Source organism: Homo sapiens, chromosome 21, assembly GCF_000001405.40.
Source record: "Homo sapiens chromosome 21, GRCh38.p14 Primary Assembly".
Classification (NCBI taxonomy): domain Eukaryota; kingdom Metazoa; phylum Chordata; class Mammalia; order Primates; family Hominidae; genus Homo; species Homo sapiens.
Genome location: NC_000021.9, coordinates 34,080,760 through 34,108,008, shown reverse-complemented (window position 1 = coordinate 34,108,008; position 27,249 = coordinate 34,080,760). Strand labels below are relative to the sequence as shown.

Here is a 27,249-nt window from a genome sequence, read left to right as displayed (position 1 = left end):
CACCATTATAAGACATGTGACTGTATGTGTATTTCCTAGTTCTGTACACTGAAAGGGCCCAGAAGTCATGATACCCCTACAGCAGTGAGTACTCCAAGCCACTCTACTAAATGCCCAATCCCCAGACTGAGGCAGGGAAATGACACAGTGCATCCAGAACATCTTACTGTGCTGGAAAATGCAAAGCACTCAAGAATTGATGGAAACGTCACAAAGGACAAAGAAACCATTGATAAAAGAAACCAGCTAAATCTGGAAACATCTAAGCAAAATAATGACAGTAATGAATAATAACTCACTGAACAAAGTAATCCAGGAGTTCATACTGACAAATGAACAGGAAAAGGGGAAGCTCTTGAGTACAGTATCCTCCCCATCAAAAAAAGGCTAGAAAATAGCCATTACAGTAACAACTCAGGCAAGATTCATAGATAAATGAATGCTAAAACTAGGGGTTCAAGTTTGATGAGAAATAGGTTATTTACATGGTTTTTAATATCCCCCCACTAATTACATATTACCAAAGGGAAAAAATAGTAACTAACACTGGAGAAACCTGGTGGACACCACCTTAACCAAGATCAAAGTTAGTATCATCGATAATGGGACAACACATCCAATGCCTCCTAATGTGAGGCTTTAGGGATGTAGCATCACTTTTGTATTTCTGCCAAAAATGCATAGTGTGAATCTAATCATGAGGGAACAGACAAACCCAAACTAAAAAGGGACAGTCACAAAATGATTGGCCTGTATTACTTTAAAAATGTCAATACCGGCTGGGCACAGTGGCTCACGCCTGTAATCCCAGCACTTTGGGAAGCTGAGGCAGGTGGATCACCTGAGGTCAGGAGCTCAAGACCAGCCTGGCCAACATGGCAAAACCATATCTCTACTAAAAGTACAAAAATTAGCCAGGTGTGGTGGCGCATGCCTGTAATCCCAGTTACCCAAGAGGTTGAGGCACGAGAATTGCTTGAACTCAGGAGACAGAGGCTGCAGTGAGCCAAGATCGCACCACTGCATTCCAGCCTGGGCGACAGAGCAAGTCACATTTCCCCTCCACCGCCAAAAAAAAAAAGTCAATACCGTGAAAGACAAAATCCAAGAAGTAGTCCAGATTAAAGGGGGCAAAAGACATAAAAGCTAAATGCAATGAACTGGCTTCTGAAAGGGGAGGAAAAGCTGCTATAAAGACATTACTGGACCCAGGAATATCTGAATAGTCTTTTGATTCAAAATCACTGTTTCTCTGTCCAGTTTGATAACTATGAGTGACTGTTCTTAAGAAATATACACGCAAAGTACTCAGGGAGTAAAGGGGAACAATGTCTGCAAATAGTATCTCAAATGGTTCAGAAAAAATATTTATGCTTCAGAAGAATGGCAAAGCCAATGTGGCAGGCAGTATGTTAATCCCTGGTGAGCCTGGATGAAGTCAAGTCCTAAATTCCTCATTCCATTCTTAACAACTTTCCTATAACTTGAAATTTCAAAATTGGAAGTGAAAAAATTAAGAATATTTTAATTTACTCTATGTTTTACACATAATCCTATTCTCAGTCAATACCTGTGAGTCAGTGTTTACAAAGATTAAAAATGACAAAAATTAGTAGGGGGAAATTCACTGGAAACCATTCATGGGCCAAGGGCAAAAGAAACTGAGGTACAAACTCTTCTTCAACTCTGAGACCCAGAACACTACATTGTGGCAGTGTTCATACTGAAAATACTTAGTCACAGAAATATAAATTTTTCATTTTATTCAAAGTTGGTACAGAATTGCTAACATTTCCATAAAATAATTACTATACTTCAGTTACAGGACAAAATACCACAGAAAGGAATGTACTTTGCAAGAAATGTAGTTCATCTTAAGTTTCCAAATACTTTTGAAGGCTAATGCAGCAGCTGGCAAAATAACACACAGTACACAAAGAACAGTGTATTTTACAGAGTCAGTAATGAAAACTGACAGCTCTTTAGCAGATATGCTTTTTTCATTTTTTAAACAATAACACTTTCAAAAACACATGAAACCAAGATCATACATGTTTACAATTTTAAAAAATCAGATTGTACACAATAGGTTAGAATAGACAAGTTAGAATTGTCATGATTTTAACAATCTTAAATCTACAATTTCAACTGTACTCCTTTCAATATAGAAATAACCTGCTTTATACCAAATTCTACTTTCTGCTTGCAACTAAAACACTGTACAATGAGATGGATACAATTAGTCAAACCTTAAAATTAAAAAAGCTGTAGACAACAGAAGGTAAACTGGAAATCCATTTACAATTCAAAAAACTCACTAATAACAAAATTAATGTTCATCAACTTCATTTATAATCACATTTGGCCTACAATGCCTAACTAAAATGACACATGTACACAATATACACCCCCAGTGTACTAACTGGTCTCTTACAAAAAATCTGAACAAAGCATCATAAGCAGGACACTGGGAAGAACATGTTTCAATGTAGACATCTTTTAAAAATGCATTAATACTTACATATCAAAATTACTAGATAAAAGCAGCAGCACTCTGCTGACATTTGGCTTAAAAATAAATGAATGAATGAAGCAATTTCACAGGATATTATTAGAAAAAGAATTGGTTTTCTTCTTGAAGAAGACTACTAACTTTTGCACAGCAACTATTTTTGATATCCATCTTATCAAAAAGAAAAAAGAAAGCACTGAGAAGTATAACACAGTTCATACATGATTGCCAACATGGGTCTGGACAAAAGAAAATGGGATGTCCAAGCAAAGAACGGGTAAATCCCTGCTCTATTTCTGAACTCTGCTGGCAATCTATAAACTGAAGCAGTAACAGTGGGGGAAAGCAAGGGAACAAATTCCATACCATCATCTGACACTAATGGAGTATGGCATTATTAAAAAAAATAAAGCTTTTGCATTTTAATAACCCCACAGAAAAGTCTATGAGCAAAAGACTTGATCTGTTTGCCACTCAAAAGTTAGAGATCTCACAGTGAAATTAGAAAACTCTAATTATACATATTTACACTGCTAGGACTACTTTTCACCTAGGCTAATTAAAGCAGTTCTCCATGAAATTATAGATGAAAGGCATTTCTGCCAAAGAAATCTCCAGAAGCATTTTTTTGTACAGTTCTTACAAACTATCTTAAATTTAAAAACATGTAAAGGTACAGAACACATAGTACGTAGGATTAACAGGTTATAACAGCTTTGCATTATCACATGTTGCTAAGCCAAGGGTGTTCCTCAAACTTCTCTTTCCTGCACTTCTGGTAATCTTCTTCCCCTCATCCCCCCAGGCCTGAGGTTTGATATTCTCAAATAATGTGGTAGGCTCATTCCTGGCTAGCTTTTTGCTGGCAAGAATAATCTCTCCCTCAAAGTGTTCAGGTTAACTCTTCTAAAACATCTCATATTAGTCTACACCAGATATAGTCTTCCTTCTAGATATATTAGAGTTGACCAAGTCTTTCCCTAAAAGGATAATTATATAAAAGAGTAGGAACAAAGGTAGTCATTTCTCTCCCATTCTGAGAATTACATCTTTTAACACATGGGCAAAATTTAAGACAAAGACATTCATTCATTCTTGATAAACAAGCTACTCGGAGGTGAAGTGAGGAGGTGGAAAAGGGCAATGCTGAGTAGAAGAACATACGTTTTCTTCTACACACACATTAACAGATTTCATCTCATCTAGACTAGAAGAGGGTTAATGGGACAAGTGAAAGAATCCTCTCCACCCCATTGTGAAAAGCAAAGTAGCTCCTCTAGCAAATATGCTTCAGAATTAGTCTGATGCTCAGAACACTCAGATCAAATTATCCTTTATTAAAATGAAGCACAGTCAAGTATAGGAAAAAAATAAAGGTAACTTCATCTCTCACATACAAACGTACACAAAAAAAATCAAAGACAAGTAGTATTTGCCCTGTTAAAGTATGACTTTCTGCATGTTTGGGGGGGCACTGTTAAGAGGTAATATTTCCTAAAAGATTTAAGATTTTTTACAAAAAACCCCAATCACACTACAGCTTAAAACAGAAATATGTCACCTGTTCCACCCACCAAAAACCTAGACATCTGTCCCTATTTCTCCAGTTTCAAGTTGCAGTAAAAAGCCCTCAAACCCCATTTTAGCTAGTAACCCCCAAATATAATTTTGGCATTCTTGACATTTATATTCTCTCCCTCCATCAATGTGGTACAAACTTATTGAGATTATTCCTTTGGGTCCCTTACCATTAGGACCAGTTTAGATACCGCATTGTCTTGGGCTTATCAATACTGTAGTGCTCATAGCAACTCTGAGACAAATACCTGGTGGCCTTTATGACTGGCACTTGTGGGATACAGAGAATACTATTAGTCTTGTGCTTTCTATGTGTGGGTACACTAATGTGTGAACACGATTTTGTGCTTTCTATGGACTTTAGCTTTCTATCATGGAATATAAACTGTTGTCACGTACCTGTTCTCGATATACCTATCAACCTACAATGGAAACACAACAAAATTAAGATCACAGAACATAAGTAACTTTAAGTTTTTAATGGATATAAAAGAAACAACATTTAGGCTACAACACAAATACAGAACTACCTGGTTTCACTGAACCTAAATAAAGGCTGCACATAAAGTATGTCAATGTAATGCATGTTTTTTTTTTTTTTTTACTTCCTTCACTAGTTACGACAAAATTTAAGAGGAATAACAAATACAAATTTTCTGTTAAGAACGGAAAGGTGCAAACTAGCAGAGTCAATACTGGTAACCAGAAGGCACTAATCCAAACACATAAATTTCAAAAGCTGGTTATATTATGGAATACCATATATACTGGCCTTTGCCAGTTTGGGATTTCTGCAATAGCAATAAGCCTCGTTTCTGTTTCCAATTATAACAACAAAAAGATGAGTTACTAATGAACATTCCACTTACAGAAGTCTAGGCTATGTTGATAAATTGAAAACTTATCTAGACTACTCTGTCTAAGAGCAATAAAAAGTAAACACTCTTTTATCCAGCAGCACTAGGAAACAGGGTGAATTTACCAAGATAAATTAGGTTGGGGATACCTACTGCCAACTTGTGCGGTTGTCGAATTCACTGTAATATGTATTCCTCTTATTGATAGAGCTCTGAATGTAAACAACCTAGAAGTGAGGGGAAAAGCTTCAGTATCATGGACAACAATTATGTTATAGTGCTTTTCAGTGGTATAGAGCAAAACCACTGTTCCCACACTACGAAAAATCTGAGACCACTGTGTTTTGTCTTGATTTGCTCGCTCTTCAGCTGCTTACTTTATTCTAGCATCCTTTCTCTTCAAGCAAGCTGTGAACCCAGGTAACCAAATTTAAGAGTCATTACATAAAGTACAGTTATTGGTTTAAGTCAATAGCCTCAGACTATGTATGGTACTGCCCAAAAAGTAAAGTGCACAAGATTAGCAATGATACAGATATACCAAACAGTTTTTGTTTATTTCTGAGTGAAAGACTATATATGCCAATGGTTAGGGTTGTTGGTTACTGGATAAATTAGGTGCTTACCCCAAAACAAAAAAACTAATCCCTCTTTTTATAAAGAAGTTTAGATGGAAACAGAAACAGAAATTACATCAATTCTCACAACATTCCTTTAAAGGTGAATCAGTAATTTAAAGCCTTATTCTCAGCATTGAAGAGAGAGAAGTTTAAATAAAAACATTTATATGACTACTAAGTGAATAATGGTGTGGGACTCACCACTGGCAAAGCCAGTTAATTACTTTGAACCTTAACTAAATTCTCTCCTAGGAGTCAAAGTAGCTGAACAGCTAAAGTATTCCAACAAAGGACAGTCTGACAAAAACATTCCATATTAAGTGACCTTGACAGAAGAAAAAGATTTGCAGCCCTAAGTTAACCAAGTCTAGCAATCGAAAGATTACCTTTTCACAATCCAGCCTCATACGTTCCAGTACAAAAGGGTTCCTCTATATGCCAACTAATTCCAAATTTTTACTTTTACTGCAAAAAAACCTTTTTGGCATCAAAACTCCATTGTTTCTCTGCACTCTGACACCATCATTTCAAAGGGGCTCACATAAATGATCACTACTGCTCTCTCCCTAATTTTTGAAAAAGGAGTTTTGAGAATAAAACAGTGCTTTTATTATTAGCCAACACAAAGTGTGAGAAAATCATTCCTGAGAATTAACATTTTAAGCTAACAGAAATTCAGTATACTTAAAACATAATTATATTTAATGAGTCATTATTTGGATCTAAAAGTCCTCAATACTGGGGCAAAACATCACTTTCACACACCATGCCAATATGCCTTAAAGTGAACTAAGCTGACAAAAAAATCAAAATTTGAATTTGCTAAGTGCTGAAAAGACTAGGTGTAGAACTGACACAGCAATGTGAAGGAAGACAAAGAGAAAGACCAGTCTCTCTGAATGGTAAGTGGGCATATACACATATAGAAACAGATCCCATTTGTAAAGAAGTCTGCTCAGGCTATTATCAACACTGAAATGCCTTCAACAACCTAGCATCTGGCTAATGCAAAATCTTACAAATACTGAAGCCTCAAAGCATTTTTCTACTAAATTATCTCTACTGTGGTAACAAACTTCGTACTTTATAATGCTTAACATCAAACCAGGGTTTAAAAAGCTGAAACTTATTTATTGGTGCCCTGATTTATATGGGGAGGAGTTTAAAGTAGCTGAGAGCCAAGGTGCTTCAAGCTCTAAATCTAATGAAAATGATTCTACATATGCAGATTTTAAGCTAATATTTGTTGTCTTTTACCAACGGGCTAATATCTGTGTCACCCAGGTACTTATCTCACTTAATCATTTTTCTGATTTCTTAGGAAAATTTTGTCCTGGCAAGTCTCTGTAGTCACGTAATTTAACAGGAAAGGTCTTGTATACATCTCTCTATCCAAACCTAGGAAACAGTGAGGTGTCACCACCAACGACCCATGTGATCCCTTTCCAGTCATCATGCCTCTGATGAAAATGAGCCAGGAGAATCATCATAAGTTAACCCTGTAAGCTTTAACACTGCCAAGCAGGAACAGGGAAGACCTAACCTTTGAGTAGCAAGTAACTGAGTAGCTAATAAGCCGCTTTATTTGGTGGTAAAGAATGAAAATAACCCACAGGCCACACCAAATGATATTCAAAGTCAGAGGGGAAGATCCATATGCCTACTATAAAGAAAATGAGCCATGGACTGCGAATACAGACACACTCTATTGGCTCTCACAAGAGTTAACCCCTTGCTTAGCCTCAAGTTACAGAAGTGCATAACAACCCCCTCAACTCAGTTCTTAAAATGTGAAGTTTCACAGAGTGATGGGTCCCAGCTAATTTCTTGAGGTATCATCCCTAAGAGCTATGGCTACATGACCCTGGCCAGGCTCTTTGTGCCAAAATACAATGGATCCTTTGAGCCAAGTGAAAAGGAAGCCCTAGGAGATGAGATCTATTGAATTTAGGCCGAAGGACACAGCACCATTGCTATTGCTTGATGCTTCTCTAATCTAAAGACAAAGCATAATTACCCCCAGGAAAGAATAGCTGGGGAAGAAGAAATCGGCTCAAGTGTTTACTCTCTGGGGGTGGCAGAACAGAATATTCTGAAAGATGACCAGGGAAATTAGAGGTCCCACAAAATATGCAATAATCATCCTGCATACCAATGTAATATGCCCTTCTCATCAGATCTTGAGATGAAAATTGCCTGAGAAGACAAAAGTCTAAGAACTGGGGATACCATTAACACCTGGTAAGACATTTATTTTTCTCTACCTTCCAAGACCAGTGTCCTCACCTCATTTTGACTTTTAGCTATTCTAGTCAATATCAAGCTTCAATTCTGAACCTTAGCTTGAGCTAATATAAAAATATACACATGTTAATGTCTAAAGACCAATGTCATCATTTAGGACCCATTTAGTCAGTGTAAAGTATGAACATTTTGCTAGCTTAAGACAGTCCATGTATGATCATTCCAGGAACAATCATTCTAATGAAATATAGATTGAAGACTGGTCCCTGAATTAAGTTGCAATCAGCAATTCACAAACTTACTCGAGCACATTATCTATTACTGGGAAGCAATAAGAAAGACAAGCTTCAGGGACTTTAGTCTAAATAAAATGATGTTTATACTGGCAAGAATAAACAATTCTAATGAATATGCTAATAGTCATTCCTTATTTACAGACTTTAGTACTCTAAACTTGACCTACTGCTATATACACACAGACACAAGATGATGTACCTTATGTATCTTACTAAGACAAGAGCAGAAAGAAGGTAGAGGGACCCTAATTCTCCAAACTACTAGGACTCAATGTTAAATAAAGGGAGAAAAAAAAAATCACAAACACCTCCTATTCATTTACGCTGGATATGGAAGAGATAGGCTGCCCAGCCAATATGTCAATTATCAGTGAATTACACAGTAATGTGGTTCAAAGAAAATTTTAGTTCTTACAACTTAATGTTAATTTGAAAAATCCAAGATCTTATTACTTTCCCAAACACCAAAAGGTTGTCCCAAAGGAAGAACAGTTCCTTTGAAAAAACAGGACAAAACATTGACAACCATTTGTCCAGACACATCTGAACAAACCATGAGTCCAGATTTGGAGACCTGGTTTCTGTTCTTCCCAAAAGAGACTTCATAACCTTGGACATGTCGCAGCCTCAACTTCCAAACAAGAAAATGATGAGCTCTATCTATTTGGCCCCCAAATTATAAACCTCAAGAATAAAATTGAGAAAAAAATTCTACAAGGCACTCTAAGCTCTTCAGAAATACATGCTATTCATACATAAATTATTTTTTCATTTACAGACTCAGTCCTTCAGAAAGCCTCCTGATCATGGGAAGACACTATGCTACCTGACAATTTCTAAAATTAACTTTGGACTAATCAAGTCCATCATAATGAAACTAGTTTATAGACTACAAAAAAATTAAAAAGACTGAGTTTTGATTCAAAATCTACAAAAGTATTTATGAAAGTAATTTCCCTAAATACAAGCCTAGTAAAATCATGCAATCTAAAAAGTATCAGAGATTAAAGAAGGTCAAAGAAAGTACATACATAATTTGCTTCCTTCATCTTTCATGGAGGACAAAGGACAGTGTTGAGCATACGAAGACACAGAAGTACGTAATCTGTAGAGCTTTTCTCTAACATCTTTTGTACCCTGTACCCACTAGCTGCAAGTGGGTGCCAAGCCATGTCAAGTTAGAGTCCTATAATTACACAGTCCTGTAATACCCTCCACAAGACACACTACTAACCCCAAAAGTTCTTGTTTGGCACCTCTCAAACATGCTATCCATCCTACAGAAAGACTATATTGACAACCTAACAACAGCAAAGTATGCACTGAGTTTTCTGTTACCGACGGCCAGTTTGCACTGAAACATCCTTATGCTCTAAGTCACTACAACAAAAATGTAGAGGCTGTGTACAGATGGAAAGTCTTTTGAGGAAAAAAAAAATCAGGGAAAAACTTATCAAGGATGCAATAAGATATCAGAATTAAATTTTCCCTCTAAAAATTCAACCTTGATATATCATGATCTAATCAAGTAGAGCAATCCAGCACACAAAGGCAGCGTCAATTTTTCTTCAGGTTTCTGGACATATCTTCCAACTGGATCCACCTAGGAAGGCATTTGGCTAATAATTTTTCCAAATAACAAGAATAAAGCTAGAAAATTAGCAGAATATATGAGTAATCATCTGATTAGCATAAGTTAATCAAACACTGCTTAGGGGGCTGGTCATTTCCAAACTATATAAACAACCTTAATATGATCAATAAATATGGGGATCATCAGCAACATTTACTTCATTTTCTCCCCCATAATCATTTAACAACACAATCATGACATGTAACTTTACAGGCAGACTTGTTGGTCATTTCAGTATGGTTCACTTAAACTTGAAAGTAGAAAGAAAAAAAAAAAGGAACTGGAACAAAGTTTTTCCCTAACATTCCATATACTGGTGGTACAAAAATACCTACAGGAAAACATTCTTTCTTTGGGAAATCAGAATCCGTAGGCTCATGCTAACAAAATGAACCTGGCAAATGAACTTGTCCTGAAACAAGTATCACACAAGCACATTCGATTTTCAGTACATAACTGATTGTACAATGTCTAAGAAATAAGTTTTTCTTAATGGTAGGAGGGATTACAGAGACAGAAAAAAAAATTTAGAAATGAGCAAATCTTCTACTTCAGGGTAAGGTCTGCCAAGACTTGGCAGTGCAGACAGTATACCTTAATTCATGGTAACTTAACATATATTCTGCTCTAAGTGCTCTGTGAGAATAATTGGTCTCTTCTTACTTTGGTATGCAAAATTTAAAACCACATTTGCACAATTCAGTCTGTTAGGTTTGGCTTCACTTAAGTTGAAGATTTACTTTAATCCATCTCTGGGAAAATAAAGTCTTGTAATTAGATGATTTTCTGCTAAGTAAAATTTGGCTAAAACCTACAGCGTAAACAATGCCTGAGAGATGCACAGTTACATAACTTTTTTCCCCAAAGACCAGTCAGTATTGTCTTAAGTTAGTGTCTCACCATATCCTTAAGTTCATAAGGAGAAATAAACAAACATGAAAATTCCAAGTGAACACACAGCAAAAAGTCCAATATTTAGTATTACTTTAACTTGCCGAGTCTCTTCTAGCATCTGTAAACAAACAGCCTCCTCTTCCATCAGGTCTCTGAGACTCCTCTTGCTGAGGCTCTTACTTTTAAAGCCACAAAACCAGTCTATGAACTTCCAGTACCGACCTCCATCATCCGTTTCTTTCTTTCTCTCTTTCTCACCCATGAGAGCTGCTTGCCCATTGGAGTAAGCGTCAACTGGTGTTTCTGCCTCTGAATGACCTAAGGATGCCACTGGGTTGCCCTCCTCTCTGCAGGTTACCAACAGATTAACATCTTCAGGCTGAAGGCCCTTAATGCTGTCTTCAGATTTCCCGTTGGGAATGATGTGGTTGATGGTCTCATTATTCTCACTGCATCTCAGAATGCTCTTTTCTTGCATTTTGTATGGTTCCTCTTTTGGGGAGCAGTTCTCCTTCACCACCAGGTTCTTCTTAGACCAAAAGGTGGTGGTTCGAATCTGTTCCTTTGTGGGAGGTGGTGTGAGAAGGCTCACAATTACAGTAATGAGTCCCGTGACCCAAAACAATCCTGTGGCCACATACATATAATGGATGTCTTTGATGAAGCCCGGCCTATTATCAGGTTGGTCACATTCTGGGGCACGGTAGGCAAAGGCCAGTATCAAACGGACTGCTCCAAGAACAAAGCCAGCCATTCCACCATAGAAAGCCCCTTGTTCATTGCAGCGCTTCCAGAAAATTGCCAGCAGGAACAAGGCTGCCACTGGGGGTGTCAGGTAATCTGCTACCTCCTGAATGTAAAGGTACATCTGGCCTCCTTGCATCTCCACGATGATTGGCACCCATGCTATGCTGATCACCACCATAAATGCCACAAATATCCTCCCCACAATCATTAACTCCCGGGAGCTTGCGCTCTTGCGGATAAGTTTGTACACATCGAGGGTGAATATGGTACTGGCACTGTTAAAGATAGAGTCTAAGTCACTCATCAGAGCTGCAATCATCACTGCCATCATTAAACCCCGAAGGCCCACAGGAACCAGCTTCATCACCAGGCGTGGGTAAGCAATATTGGAGCAACCAGCTCTGCTTCCACACACCAGCATGCAGTGCTCTGGGTTGATGCAAGCTATATCATCAGTAAACAGTATCCTGGAAATCATTCCTGGGACAACTATGATAAACATTGGCAGGAGCTTTAAGAAGCCAGCCATAAGAGTAGAGCCTTTGGCATGAGCAATGTTTTTGGCTGCAAGGACCCTCTGCACGATGACTTGGTCAGCACACCAGTACCATACTGAAGCTGGGGTCTGCCCAAGAATGAATCCAGGCCAAGGAACATCTTCATCTGTTGGATTCCGCAGCATTTTCAGGGCTTCTTTCTTAGGGGAGACATTACAAGAATTTGTGTTGGAAAGGTTGTATGTCAATAAGATGGAAGTGACATCGGGTGAGGCCAACATGTACCTTCTCTTAACTTCCTCAAACCCGCCAATCTCCATTATGCTAATAATCATAAGTGTAAGTGCCCCAATGATCATGAGCAGAGCCTGCAGAGTGTCTGTGTAGATCACTGCAACAAGGCCTCCGGTGACAGTCAGCAAAGCAGTCATGCCAATGAGCAGGATGACAGACACATAAAGATTCCAACCCAAAGACTCCTGGATAAAAAGGGCACCCGAATACAGATCCACCGAGAGCTTGGTGAAAATATAGAGAATCAGAGACAAGGCTGCAAAATAGACCTGAATCCTATGGCCACCAAATCGCTTGGACAAGTATTCAGGCATGGTATATACCCCTGACCGGATGTAAATTGGGATGAAAACCCATCCCAGAAGTTGTAAAAGCAGTAAGGCATTGAATTCCCATGCGCCCACTGCAAATCCACTTGCAGCTCCAGATCCTGCCAGCCCAATGAAGTGCTCACTCCCAATATTGCTCACAAACAGAGAGGCACCAATTGCTACCCAGGTCATAGAGCGCCCCGCCAGGAAGTATCCACTCACGGTGCTTCTATTAGATTTCCACATGGCAAAAAAACCAATGCACATGACCAGGATAAAATACAGGGCCACTATGGCAATGTCTGCTGTGTCCAGTACAGCTCTCATTCTGGTAACTTGTGAATAATAGCGCTCCAATGACAGAAGTGTCCAACTTTTTATTTATTTTTAGTAACCCCAGCCAAGTCTGTAAACCATACGTGAACTGGACTACACAGAGCAACACAGCAGGGTCAAAGTCTTTGTCCTTTGGTTTGCTGTCTTGATGGTGGTGGTTGTGATAAACTTTGAAGAAGACAGTTTAAATTTTCCGCTTCTTAATTGGGATTGAGAACTTAGCTCGTACTCTTAATCCACTCTCCACAAGACCATCAGCATTTACTCAGGTGCTGGAGGAGAAATTCTGAGTTGCAGCTAAGTCTAGTGAAGCCTACTGTACCAACCCTGCAAGGCAGCAGAGACAAAAGACAAAGATTGAAGTAGAGGAGGTCTCGCCACGTGATGAGGAAACTTTCAGTCTAGCAAACCCGGCGCAACGAGACATTCTTTATTGGAAGAAAAAAAATTTTTTTAATACACTTCAGTTCCACAGGAAAGAGCAATCTATATGATCACAGCTGATACTTTTGTCAGTGAGAATATTATCATTTTGAGCTGAGGACAGAAATTCATCTACCTCATAACTAAGTGGCCTAACTTCAGCAGCTAACTGCCTACCACAGCATTGCCCTTTCTTGTCTTACTGTGGTATGCTCAGATTAGGACAGGCACTAAGATCTTAAAGCACCCTAAAGGGGAGAAAACACTAATTATATTCGTAATAAGGGCACAAAAATGAAATCTTAAAATACTATGAATCCTAAGAGAGTTTGGGGGTAACTTTATGGCCAGTTAGGGTCCTGGATGGAACAGGCAGGTGGTGTTTACTAGATGTTATCATCTACCCTCAGAAAATTTAAATACAGAAAACCAAGTACTGCCTAGTCTCTGGAAATGTATTGTTATAAAGCTTCTTAAACTCCAGTAAATGGATATAGTTGTCATACAGTAACCTAGATCTTGTGAGACGCCCCCTGCCCTAATGGGAAACACGACATTCCACACAAAACTAAAAATATCCAACTTACAAAACAACTCAAAAATTGTATTATTTCTGCCAGTTAGAAGATGCTGCAAGAAGATAAAAAGCAAACTTTAAAAGAAGCAATTTCCTTCTCTTCCTTTTCATCAGGCAGTATTTCCAAAACAACCTCTGAGAGGATAACGGCACTGACTAAAGGCGTGATTTTATGTTTTCCTTTTAATGCTTTTTGTTGAAGGGTATAAGAAGCAGAGAAAAGAGGGAGGAGGAGAAAAGTTTTCAGAAGACTAAAAAATGATTTATTATTATGTCCGCCAAACCTCAACAAAACAGACATTTGTGGACCATTAGATAAATCTTCAGTAGGACCATCAGGAATTTTTCAGTTCTGGATTAAGATAATCACTCTGCAAAACAGACATTTAAATATACCTAAAATTAAATGTATTAAAATTTGACGGCTTCTCTCCTGAAAAAGAGACAAATACTAAATTTTCAGTTAATTGTAATTGCAGCTGACAGATCAATACGAACAACAATTTTATTCAACCTAATGCCTTCCACACATTAACTTCTAAATGATTTCTCCTTTTCCAATAAGGCAACCTCAGAGAAGAATGTTTTTCCATGCTTTTTCTGATGATTCTAGGCATTTTCCTTTTAAGTCCTATAAATTATACTAAAGCTACCTCTTCTCAAAACCGTTCAAAACAGACCACAGTATTAGAAACTTTACAACACACTTCTCACTGACAAAAGGAGCTAAACATAATGCCTAGAGACTACTGCCCTACAAAATTAGGTTCTTAGGTCTAATGCAGAAAAAACTGCCTGGATAGAAATGTCTCAATCCCATCTGCGTGCCTTTTTAAAGCATTAAGCAATACAATAATTATGCTATGAAAAGTGATTTAAATCCTTTCTAAGTGTCAACGGCTGGCATAAATAAGATTGATTGCCAGAGAAAAGCAAAAAAAAAAAAAAAAATCTTAAAAGTTGAGGTTTGTATCACTTCATACCTGCCAAATCCTGAAGATGATCATATTTCTATGACCACCTTCCCCACCCCCAAAAGCTTCCAAGTTTTTAAACAAATGCTTTGACATTATGTAGGACGAATCATCTAAATTTTTAATAAAATCTAATCAGATGACTAGTAAACATTATTTAAAAAGGTATCGTTAAATGTTTCTGCATAAGGGAAGCTTGTCAATTACAATGAAAACTGCTGTGTCAATTACAATGAAAACTGCTGTTCGCAGTTATGAAACCCTGCCTCCAGGGCTCTCTGCTACCCAACAGCCATCCAAGTCATCCTCAGGCCACTTGTTTCAATTTTCAGAAGGCTACCTGGCTAATCAGGTATCACTCTTCCCAATGGCAGTAGCAACCACGTGCTTTCCAAAGAAGGGAGAGAAAAACACAGTGGGTATTTCTGGTTTCATCTGGCCGTTGGGGGGGAAATAGGGTGGGTTATGTGTCATAGTAGCTGCTGCAGCTTATTTGTTCAGAGAACAAAGTGCTGAAAAAGAAAACAAGCACTTCCTCAATCACTGGGAAGCACTGTTACTATCAGTAACATTGTTCTTCATTGTCAAATCTGATTTATGCAAGGTAAATATAGAAGCTATATTCTGCTGCCTGATGAATGCTCAAACTGCATGAAGTTCTCATGCTAGCCCTAACTCCTAACTTCTCTAGTAAAGTCGCTCTGCCCACAGGAGAGGTACCAAATAGTACCCTAACACTAGCTCAAGGCTGAATTCTCAACTCTCCGCCTAGGCTTCCTCATATCCTTCAAAGCCACTGCGGACAGTTCCCTTCTCACTGGATACCATACCACTCTGTGGGTCGTGTCTAGATTTTTCCAACTTAAACAAAACACATGCAGAGACCAGCACCTGGTAAAGACTGGAAAAGGAAAAACAAAACCAAAAACAGGTCAATTTGGTTTGTAGAAATATATAAAATACTATAATGCAATGCAGCTATATTTTACACTCTAGTCACAGTCACAGCCTTGAATTTCAGTCTTTCAAGAGATAAACTACATTCCTTAAAAATGGTTCTGAATATACAGTATGTTATATATATATATATGTTTTTCTTCCTTTTAAAGAAGTTAACATTTCTTCAACAAAATACAATGAGCACTGTCCAGGGTTCCCTTATTTTTATAAGAATACACATGGAAGAATCTTCAGCTAACATGAGGCTTTTTAACTTGTATTTTTATATTTATATATGCTTTTTGTCACAGTTCATCATTCACGCAAACCTCTCAAGTAAAATTATAAGACAATAAAATAGGTATAGTTATGAAAAGCATGTAGGTGGGTTCCTTGGTAGTCCATTTTTTTCTTAAAAAGCTTCTGTAATGGGAGTAATACTTGTAGAATGCAAAAAGAAACAGTCCCCTAGTGGTGATGAGCAGATTTAGCCAAACCTTGAACACAAAGGTGCTTTGAAACAGAGCAGATTCCCCTTCTTCCCAAAAGAGAAGGCATCCTTCTCAGAAAGTAGTATTTTATTGTTTTGCACAGAATTAGAATGCAGTTTTGGTTCTATTCCACGCATCTGGATAAATTAAATTGCAACTGAAGAATTAATCCAAATAGAGAAGTGTAAATATAAATATTTGCTGCATTTGACCAAATAGAAAGAGAAAAAAAGGTAAGACCAAATTTAAATAAGCACTCCTTCAGGTGATATAACCATGTTAACCAAAATGTAATTAGTTATCATGACCAGATCTCTCTAGTACTGTCTGGGTGACCATATAATTTATCTTCCAAACCAGAAACTTATTCTGGAACTATATGTAAACAGCAGGATATATGGGCACTCTATCAAAAAAATAATAAAATAAAAAACCACCTGCCACTAAAACCAAACAAGGAACAAGAAAAATTATCTCCTATACTCAGGGCTTCAAGTCATAAGTTCAATGACACAGGGCGGGGCCTGCAAAGAGTAGTACGCAATAATCTTAAACGTGACCAAACAACCACCTCTTTTAGCTTTGGAGTCAATTTACAAACCACACACTCAAGGTACAATCTGAGACGCCTAGTCCAGCACTCTGTCAATGGTAAGCTTGATGAGCCCTGCTCATCCTCTGATCCAAATGAAAAATATTCACTTAGCCAGCTAATAATTGAAGGGTTATAGAACACACAGACACCTCTGAAAACTAATTACCTGAATTACAATCACTTTTGTGTAACCTACCAAAAACAAAAAACATGGGCATACCCAAGCTTGTTTTCTCCCCACCCCAACAGACAGATTTCATGATTCTGTAAGAAGGGAGGTGGGTGTAGGTACCACATCTATGTAGGTGGCACGGTACAGAAGAAAACAGCACAGTTTTTAAGGGCTGGGTTCCATGCTCCGTCACTTCCTAACTGTAGGATCTCAGGCAACAACTTCATCTCTATGAGCCTCAACAAGTCTCAACTGTCTGGCTTTTAAAATGAAACCAACTTGCTCCTTATGATTTATAAGGAATAAGTAACAGAGAAAGCTAGTATTGCCCAGTGCAATGGGGAGGTGGCTCAGTAAATGTCAGTTTACTCCCTACAACCTGAATATACTAGAAGTGATATTAGTTCCTTTCAAATTAAACTGTCAACTATGTGCAAGGCATATTAGGATTTTCCCAAGTTATTTATATATAGAAAGATTAGATAAAATAATGCATTAAAGATGCAGCTCTCTCAAACATTTTAGACTCCCAACTGTCTCATCAACTATTAGCTCCTACTTAAATCACTTCAAGTAAAATACAAAAAGAAAAAATGTATATAAAATTCTTAAGACTTTACATACATGCTTTCACTTTTGTCACCTTGACTCAAGTTCTAGGAAAGCAAATTCCTGTGGTGGAATAGACTACTAACGCTTGATGCAGAGTGTATGTGTACTCACATAGGACTGTCCTCAACCCCTGCTTACTTTAAAAATGTGGAGCAAGGATACTGTAGCGGTTCATCAGTAACACAAAGAGCAAAACAGGTTTTCCTAATATAACTGGCCTGAACTCCAGCCAGTTTTAAATTGTAAGTGGAGCTAAAGACAACACTACAGATTAAGTATCCCTAATGCAAAAATACAAAATCTGAAATGCTCCTCCCAAATCCAAAACTTTTTGAGAACTGACATGATGCTCAAAGGAAATGCTCACTGGAGCATTTTGGGTTTGGGATGTTCAGATATGGGATGCTCAGCCACCAAGTAATATGCAATATCCCACAATCCAAAACACTTCTGGTCCCAAGCATTTAAGATACGGGATATTCAACCTGTACCGTAATGTTTTAACCATCCCTAAAATATAAAGAATTTGCCCTTAAATCTTTTTGACAAAACATTTCTATTAAACTTGCACCCTCAAGTTTTTAAAAGTTATTAATTATACAAAACCCTGATTGGACTCAAATGGTGCTGAAGCTGTATTCTGATGGGTGAAGTTGAGGCAGAGTAGGGAGGGACTGCGGCCCTCCTCCCAACCCTCTACCACCAGAACAGCTCTACTTTTATCAGTTTCTCCCGGGACAGGAGTGGGGAGGGGTTAAGAATGGATAATTTCCAAAGTAAACCATTTCCTCAAATAAAATCTTATTCACCTAGAAAAGTTCATAAACCACCAGATTTACTTCATCCATATACACTCCGCCCAAGATATATTCATTTTAACCTGATTCTACCAATAAGTTTGGCTCATCATGAATTTTTTTATAGAAATCTCAGAGAAATAAGACCTTGTAGATATGGCAGTCAGGGAGGGAAGAACAACTATGAAACTACTACTGGTTTTAACTTTTATGTGAATGATACTAGATCACATATAGGAGCAAACTCCCAACAACCCATTTTGTTAAAGATAAATGAAAACATGAAATAACAGGCTGGGCGTGGTGACTCACACCTGTAATCCCAGCACTTTGGGAGGCCAAGGCGGGTGGATCACTTGAGGCCAGGAGTTCGAGACCTGCCTGGCCAAACCTCATCTCTAAAAAAACACAAAAATCAGCCAGGTGTGGTAGCACACGCCTGTAATCCCAGCTACTCAGGAGGCTGTGGCAAGAGGATCGCTTGAACCCAGAGAGGTGGAGGTTGCAGTGAGCCGAGATCACACCTCTGCACTCCAGCCTGGGCAACAGAGCGAGACTGTCTCAAAAAGAAAAGGAAATATGAAATAACAGAGCAGCAATGCCTATTACTATGTAATCTTAACCAAACATTTGTGTAACTCAATAAGAATTCAAGAGGCTCAACACTATCTGCTTGTAAAAGACTGTTTATCAAAGATAAGTGAGTTATAAATAATGGAAATTTAAAAAAAAAAAAAAATCTTACACTAACCTAAGTCCTAACACCATCTAGGTACTGTGTCTAGTTTTATGTGCATTACTTTAATCCTTATAACAATCATGAGATAAGTACAATTATTATGACCATTTTACAGATGAGAAAACTGAAGCCATGAGGTAGTATAACTCACCCCAGGCCACAGCTGTCTGTGTTACAGCCAGGATGTTGCCTCACATCTATATGTCTAAACAGCTTTTGCCCTTAATCACTATGCAATACTACCTTCAGTGAAAAGGACATTACTGACAGGAAGAAACATTAACGATATTGATAAAAGATCATGCGTGTTTAAAAAGTTGTGCTTGAAAATACACAAGATGGATATGTAACAACTGTTAACAAAGTAAGACTGCAAACAGCACGTAAGATAAAAACCAGTTGAAATCTTTGTGTGATCATGTGAATGGATGTGTATGGATAAAATGCAGAGATTAAAAGTAAAAAGAAGTCCCAGGCATAGGCTTCACATACAGCAAAGCCCTGATGGGTCAGCTGTAAGACCAGACGTATCTATGTTCTCACCATCCAAGTTCAACGCTTTCTGCCTTCATTCTTTTTATCAGTGTTAATTAGTCATTCCACCAGAAGGGGAAAAATAGTAAGTCTTAAGTGTATTCTATACTTGACCCAGTCATCACAGCTATAGATTCTATCTAAGCCAATCTTTATCAACTCCCACAACTTTAAAACATTAAGTTAAAGGAATTAGCTGTACAATCTACAAATGCAAGGGTTCTCACAGTAAAATTTATGGACAACTGCTCTTAATGGATGAAGTGTTGTAGTTGCCTGTTGTTCCGGGGTATGAATAATTTGCTCTTGCCCAAAAAATGTGTTCTACTCTCAATCCTCCCCATCTCAGAACAGCAACTTCATCCTCACTATTGCTCAGTCCAAAAATTTTAGTCATCCTTGACTGCTCACTTTCTCCCTCAACCCACATGCAATCAATCCATCAGCAAAGCCTGTTGGCGATACTTAAAATATATCCAGAATCAAAGACAACTACTAGCACCTTAGTTCAAATCACCATTCCATCTCATCCAGATCACTGTCCCAGCCTCTTGTCTCCATGCTTCTGCCCTTGGCCCACTACAGGGCACTAGCACAGCAAGCAGTCAACCCTTTCATCACAATGGACCAAACTAGCCTCTGGGACTGGCTATTTCCTATGCAGGCAACACTTTGTAACCCCAGGTTTCCACAAGACCTGTCTCCTCTCCTTTTACGTCTTTGCACAAAAGTAACTTCCCTGACCATCTCAATGCCTCCCTTCCAACTTTGTATTTATCCATAGTACTCAACACCTAACACGCTATAAAACTTAAACGTTTCTTCTGTCTCCTCACTACCATGTATGTAAACTCCATGAGGGTAGAATTTTCTGTGTTGTTCCCTGATGTGTCCTAGTGTCCAGAACACCATCTTACATATTACAGGTGCTCAAATGTTTGTTAAATAAAAAAATCAAATATTAACAACTAAGTTCTTCGCCATCAAGACTGCTAAACTTCCAATATCCTATATTACCATCAACAGTGGTTTTTTAAGCAACAAGAGATGCAGATTAAAGAGGCTAAAGGGAAAAAGAGCCTCCTCCCTCCTCCACCAGTGATCTGCAATCTCAAATAGCTCCAGTTGAGGGTATGTGTAATGACAAGGCAAACTGGACTAGACAAATATGTTCATTCAGATAAAAATCTCAGTGGCCCATGACATAGTAAAAACCTGTATCTGGAGCCACCATCTCCCTCAACCTACCACCTACCACCAGTCTGGCCCACTTCCCTTCACTGTGCTAACTCCACTGCGGAACGTGTTTCAAGTTTTACTGCTGCAACTGTCGACATCCACCTCTTAGTGTGCAGTGATATGTGCAGACCTTCCCTGTGCGTGTCTGTCTGGCAACTGTTCCCACACAGCTGAAAGAGCAGGTCAGTGCCGGCAAGCAACAATTCCCTTCAGCTCACCCAACAGAAACCCAAGCACCCTGATGTCAACTCATGAAGAATCCTCTTCCACCTCTCCATTACAACTTGAGTTCAGAGTTCCCACAAAACTAAAGAAGTTACCTTAGTAACTAGCATTTACCAAACACCATGTGCCAACCACTATTTTTACACTACATGTTTGAGCTCATCTAATCCTAACAAAAACCCCAAGAGGCAGACATGATAATGATCCCCAATTTACAAATGAGAAAACTGAGGACATTTGAGAGGATCACTAAGGGAGTTCATGAACATCCTTTCTGAAATAAAGATGAAGAACGCATCCTTTTACAACACCTTTCAGGAAGATACACACACACACACACACACACACACACACAAACACAAACTAGAAATAAACACAAGTCAGATAAAATCCAGCTAACTGATGCAAAAGGACTAATGTAATGAGAAAAATCACCACCGGTAAGCCCTGAAGTAATGCACCCAGGCTATGAGTACAGGGATGCTACAATTTTCAGGAGAAAGGCTGCTGGGGGACTTCAAAATGGACGCATGCAGCTGCTAACATCTGTACCCACACCAAGAATTAATCTTTTCTCTAAAATGCAGACATGTGTCCCTCTTGATGTGATCTATCCCTCCCAAGACCACTTAAGTGCTCTTACAAAACAAAACAAAACAAAACCTGAATCTAATCAAATTTCTAGAACCTATGGGTCTACAGAAATTACCTGGAATAGAAGAATATATATAAACAGCATAAGTGACCAGCCAAATCCGGAAAGGTAAAGAGTGGGGTAAGAAGCTATTACAGAGTAAGAGACTTAAGGTCATTAAGCAAACATAATTTGTGGACCTTGTTTAGATTCAGAGTCAACCAGAACTGTAGACAGACACTTTTGACAATTCAGGGAATTTGAACATGAACATGAGGTGTTAAGGAATTGTAGTTAGGTGTAAAGGCACTACGGTTGTTTAAAAGTCCTTATTTCTGGCCGGGCGCAGTGGCTCACACCTGTAATCCCAGCACTTTGGGAGGCCGAGGCGGGTGAATCACGAGGTCAGGACATCAAGACCACCCTAGCTAACACGGTGAAACCCCGTCTCTACTAAAACTACAAAAAATTAGCTGGGTGCGGTGGCGGGCGCCTGTAGTCCCAGTCCCAGCTGGGGCTGAGGCAGGAGAATGGCGTGAAACCCGGGAGGCAGAGCTTGCAGTGAGCCGAGATCACGCCACTGGCACTCCAGCTTGGGCGAAAGAGCGAGACTCAGTCTCAAAAAAAAAAAAAAAAAAGTCCTTATTTCTTATACACTAATTACTTACAGGTGAAATGATATATCTAAGTTTGCTTTAAAGTACTCCTGCAATAACTGATTCAGTCACCAACAGATGCTAAAACCAATGCAGATTGTTGGAAAACAAAATATTCAGTCTCAAGTTTGTTATTCCATAGATCACTTAATACAAAAGGGAAATAGGGTACATTTACAATGGCCCATTCTGGTGAATGCCACCTAACCAAATGACTGCTTAACAAAGTGGTATGCCTCCCGGTGTGATGCATTGACATCCCTATGAAATACTCATTCCTGTCAACAATGGCTAATCTAACTCTAATCATGAAAACGCAACTACAGTCAACTCCAAAGTGAGGGTTTCTGCAAAACAGTAGGCCTGGACTCCAAAACTCCTCAAAGTGCCACTGTTATTAATGACAAAGGCTTTGGAACTGTTCAAGGAGACTAAACAAGTAAATATATGATCCTTGATTGAATACTGAATTAAAACACTAAAAACTATTACTGGAAGAACAGCGTAAATTTCTATATGAATTGAATATTTGGTGGTAGTATCGTATCAATGTCCGTTTTGAATGTGATGACTATGTTGTGGTTAGGAGGAAGGCCCTTATTCCTAAGAAAGGTATGTCAAGATGTCTGCAACTCTCAAAATAACGCAGATTAAAAAAAGATAAAATAAGGCATATTCTAACAATTAGTGATCTAGGCAAAAATCATACAAGTGTTAAATGAACTGCTCTTTAAGTCTGAAATTTTTTTAGTCATGTTAGCCAAGGGAAATTAATGAAAAAAATTTTAAGATAAAGAAAACAGAGGTGAGCAGACTGGAAATTAACAGTTGAAGCTGAGTGATAGGTACAATACAAAATTTCATTAAACTACTGTATTTACCATTACGTATGACCAAGTCTGTGTTTTAATTCTTCAGTTTTTCCATTTGTAAAATGGAAATAGCTCTACCTAACCTTAGATGGCTGAGGATTCAAGAGAATTGTACATATGTGTGTGTGTATAATATGTAGGTGTGTATATATATCCTAAATACATATACACACCTACATAACCCCTGCACCCCTACTTCAATCCATTGCTAAGGTTAGGCATTATTATCAACTCATCTAGCCTCCCTCAAAGGCTAGCAACTATGAGGTTTATAGAGGTAAAACATCCTACCAGGTCAACTTTGTGTTTTTTTTCTGTTCTCAGTCTACTTGGTTCCAATTTTATGTTTCTAGAAAAAAACTGTTTCTAGAAGGAAATCGCTTCTGCTCATCTTTCCATGTGACTAAGGCAGAAAACCTAAGCACAAGCACCTTCCTGGTAGACCAGATTATAATTCTCCAGGCCAAGTTATAAATAGAAGATTCAGAAATTAGGGTATTTCCTCTGAAAGATACTTTTCAGTTGGAAAACTTTAAAACCTTCTAATTTTCTCCAAGGTTTGGAGAATATAACACTCAAGAAGTAAGAAGTAAGACCACAAAAAGAGTAACTTTAACAGTATTTGGAGGGACTGGTAGAAATTACGCCCTGAATTAAACCTAAGAAATAAAAACAGAAACATGGTATTCTAGATTATAAAGGCAGCTGGATTTTCCTCTTGCATTGCAAACACAGGACAAGTAGAGGGATAGAAAAATCCAGGGAAATAGGGTCACGACTGTTTTCTTTGTATGCCAGATGACAAGAAATCTTGAAATTATCAATAGTTTCCAATGAGTCCATCCTAATCAGATAAAATACTCAAGACAGTGACATTAGGAAAAATGTTTTCTTCAATCTTCTTACACACACAAAATTTGCAAAATCTCCTGGCCCTTACTTAGTCCACACATGAGAATGGCATTCCCATGAGACCAACAGTGCTACCAAAGTCTGCGAGACTTAGGCTGCCTAATGGAAACTTGGTGTCTTAAAGCTTCAAGATACTATACTTCATACAACTGTTTTCTCATATGACTATTAACAAAACAGAAGGCAAGCAGTACACCAACAGAAGAATGGCAATCAAAACAACCCATGACTGGGTCATTTGCTTACTTAACAGTGTCAAGCAGTTAAAAAACAAAACCACACACTTCAGTACCATACACCTTTCCTACAACATGCCTGACAGAGCCTACACTCAAATTTAGCTTTTCAACTGAGCAACAGAAATTCACCTTAAATCTGAATCAAAACCAGACTGAACAGATGTTTTATATTCGGAATTCATACACGGGGCATCTGAGCACAAAATGAAAAGGGAGCAGATATCTGGAACTTACACTGATTCTGCACCTTTCTAACGGAAGCAAAGACGACACATGGATTTGCAAGAGCATCTTCCCAGCAGCTGAAATGCAACCACAACACTGCACTTCTGATCACCACAATGAGAATTTTCTCAAACTGGATTATATCCACAGCAACCCGGCTACCATAACTGCACTTGGTTTCTTCACCTGACAAAATTAAAGCACTTAACCACTCCAGGGTAGGTGTTACAGAGAAACTTTTAAAAACTCAAGTCAAAACAAAGACAAAACCAGGAATTCTCGATTCTGGGGCAGAAGCAGAAAAATGCCAGTTTATGAGGATTGAGGGCTCCAATAAAGAAAGTTTTGCTAAGTCTGTGCTTTCACTTGCAATTTCATTTTTAAGCTTTCATCTACACCAACCTCTACTGAGGTATGCCCAAAGTGGACAGAAATTACCTTACCTGGGACTGTAATCATAGTAAAAATGATTGCAAGGGGAAGCAAAACAAGTCAATTACACCTTGGGCCAAAACGTACGTAAGAACAACCTGGGATCTGAGTTCGTTTTATTTGCAATTTGATGTTATCTATCTGGAGTGGGAGTGAAAAAAAAGACAAAAAAAGAAGGTTAGTCAAGGTAATAACTTGGCTTCTATTTTATGGAAACACAAAGCCTGGTCAAAAATAAAAATGTCATCACCTCCCTCCTCTATAATCTTTACCAAGAGAGCACCTGAATTTTTTTCATGGTAATACTATTTTCCAGGGATCATGGGTAAACTATTTTTAATTCCACAGATACACTCTGAGCAAAAAAAAATATTTTCTAGGCAAAGCAATCTTTGCATGCCAGTAGTATTTCAAACACCTAAGAGGTTAATACAACGGGTACAAACCAAATAGTACTAATACATGCCTAAAACAAGATATCACTCAGACATTGAAAGAAAAAGTGGACTGTGAATGTCACTCCCTCACAGTTTACACGGTGCAGCTCTGAAGCCTACATGTATATTTTAGCCTAAATGCACATATACAACCCAACAATCCGAAACTATAGATACTTTCAAGAATTGAATATGCCTGCCATTGCTGAAATCAGTCCTACTGCAAACCAGTGACCAATTAACAAGGTGGGCTTTGTCAACATAAATGCTAAGAGATTTACAGACAACCTACAGCTAATTATCTGAATATCTAGATTACAAAATGAGAGCCAACCTAACCCACAGATACATTACATTTGATCCATGGTACCTAAGTATTCAATTAGTTGGCAACATCAAAAAAAAAAAAACCAGATTTCCTATAAAATCTGGATTTCTGGCTGGTAGGAGGAAGAGAGAAAAAAAAAGCTGGCAAAACCAGGCCCACACCCCTCATGGCAATAATAGATGGGAGCAGAGTAGTAAGCACCAACACCACTAATTCAAACATTTACTTAACAAGAACTGTATTTCAGCTTTGATCTAGTTTGGGATTCTGATGAAATAAACTTAGATATAATAAGTTTTATCTTTTAGAGTTTCTTCATTAATAAACTGGGAATAATGAAAAACTAGGCAATGAAGTTCACAGCGACTTGCCTAAGACCACAAAGCTACTTTAATGACAGAACTACACTTAACTACCTCCAAGGTCACATAACCACTTTATCTTCAAATACCCTCCCAAATGAATTACTTCCATTTTACAAAGAAGGAACTGAGGATCCAGAAGGTTAAAGTCCTTAGGAAGTAGGTGCTACAATCCAAAACCCAGTCCCATCTGCCTCTAAAGCTCCTTCTAGTCTCCCAATGCCAGTCTTTGTTTATTCTATGGTAACACATCCAGTATCTTCATTTCAGATCTTACAAGGTTTTTCTACTCATTTATAATAGAAAACAAAAAAATCAGCATTTTTCTATAAAGCAGAAGCCTTCATACCCAAAGCCATATCCAGTCATAAAACTATATATACGTACCTTAAGTATTTTATTAAGTATTTTATTCAACACATAAACATACATTTATTTGCCAACCTCAATATAGGGGTCATGACAAGCACTTGGAGAATGGAATCGATGACCTGGAGTTCCCTGATGATTTGAGTTCCTTCTGCTTGATCTAAGCGACATCTACAGATGGCATTATCTACAATTTCCAGTTTCAGCTTCATTAAAGTGGAAAGTTTAAAAGATCCTTGTAAAACACTCCACATACACAATCCTCCTAGTTATTTTTCTTCCCAAACTTTGAGTTATTTCAGCCATATCTAATTCTACAGTCATTATTTTAATGACTCACCTTTTATCAAGTCTTCCCAAAGAATCCAACTTGGTTTTCAGGAAACAAAGGTTTGCACTCATTTCATCAGCTCACATGATATTTAAATTATTTTACGGAAACAAGATTACCTGTCATAAAACAGTCTTGGAAATCAACACAACTTCTGGTAACATACAACTCACCCAGCGTGAGCGAAGTGCACTGACTTGTAAGCAAACTACTAGCACGAGGTCAACACGCTGTATCATAGCAAATAACTGTTTTATAGAGATGAGAGTAGTAACCCCTCAAGGCAGCTTAGTAAGTATCTACCATATATGCAAAG

The 27,249-nt window shown here is 38.2% G+C and overlaps 2 protein-coding genes across 2 annotated transcripts in view; both read right to left on the bottom strand.

Annotated features, from left to right (window-relative positions):
- MRPS6 (mitochondrial ribosomal protein S6) overlaps window positions 1-27,249 on the bottom strand; it is a 69,453-nt gene that overhangs the window by 35,022 nt on the left and 7,182 nt on the right. The gene's annotated exons all lie outside the window — the stretch shown is intronic.
- The window catches only part of SLC5A3 (solute carrier family 5 member 3), a 32,683-nt gene continuing 7,182 nt past the window's right edge, over window positions 1,749-27,249 (bottom strand). Inside the window, exon 2 of the mRNA NM_006933.7 lies at window positions 1,749-13,146. Coding sequence (NP_008864.4) covers window positions 10,654-12,810 — 2,157 coding nt within the window. The 5' untranslated portion in view covers window positions 12,811-13,146 and the 3' untranslated portion in view covers window positions 1,749-10,653. The remainder of the gene's footprint in view (window positions 13,147-27,249) is intronic.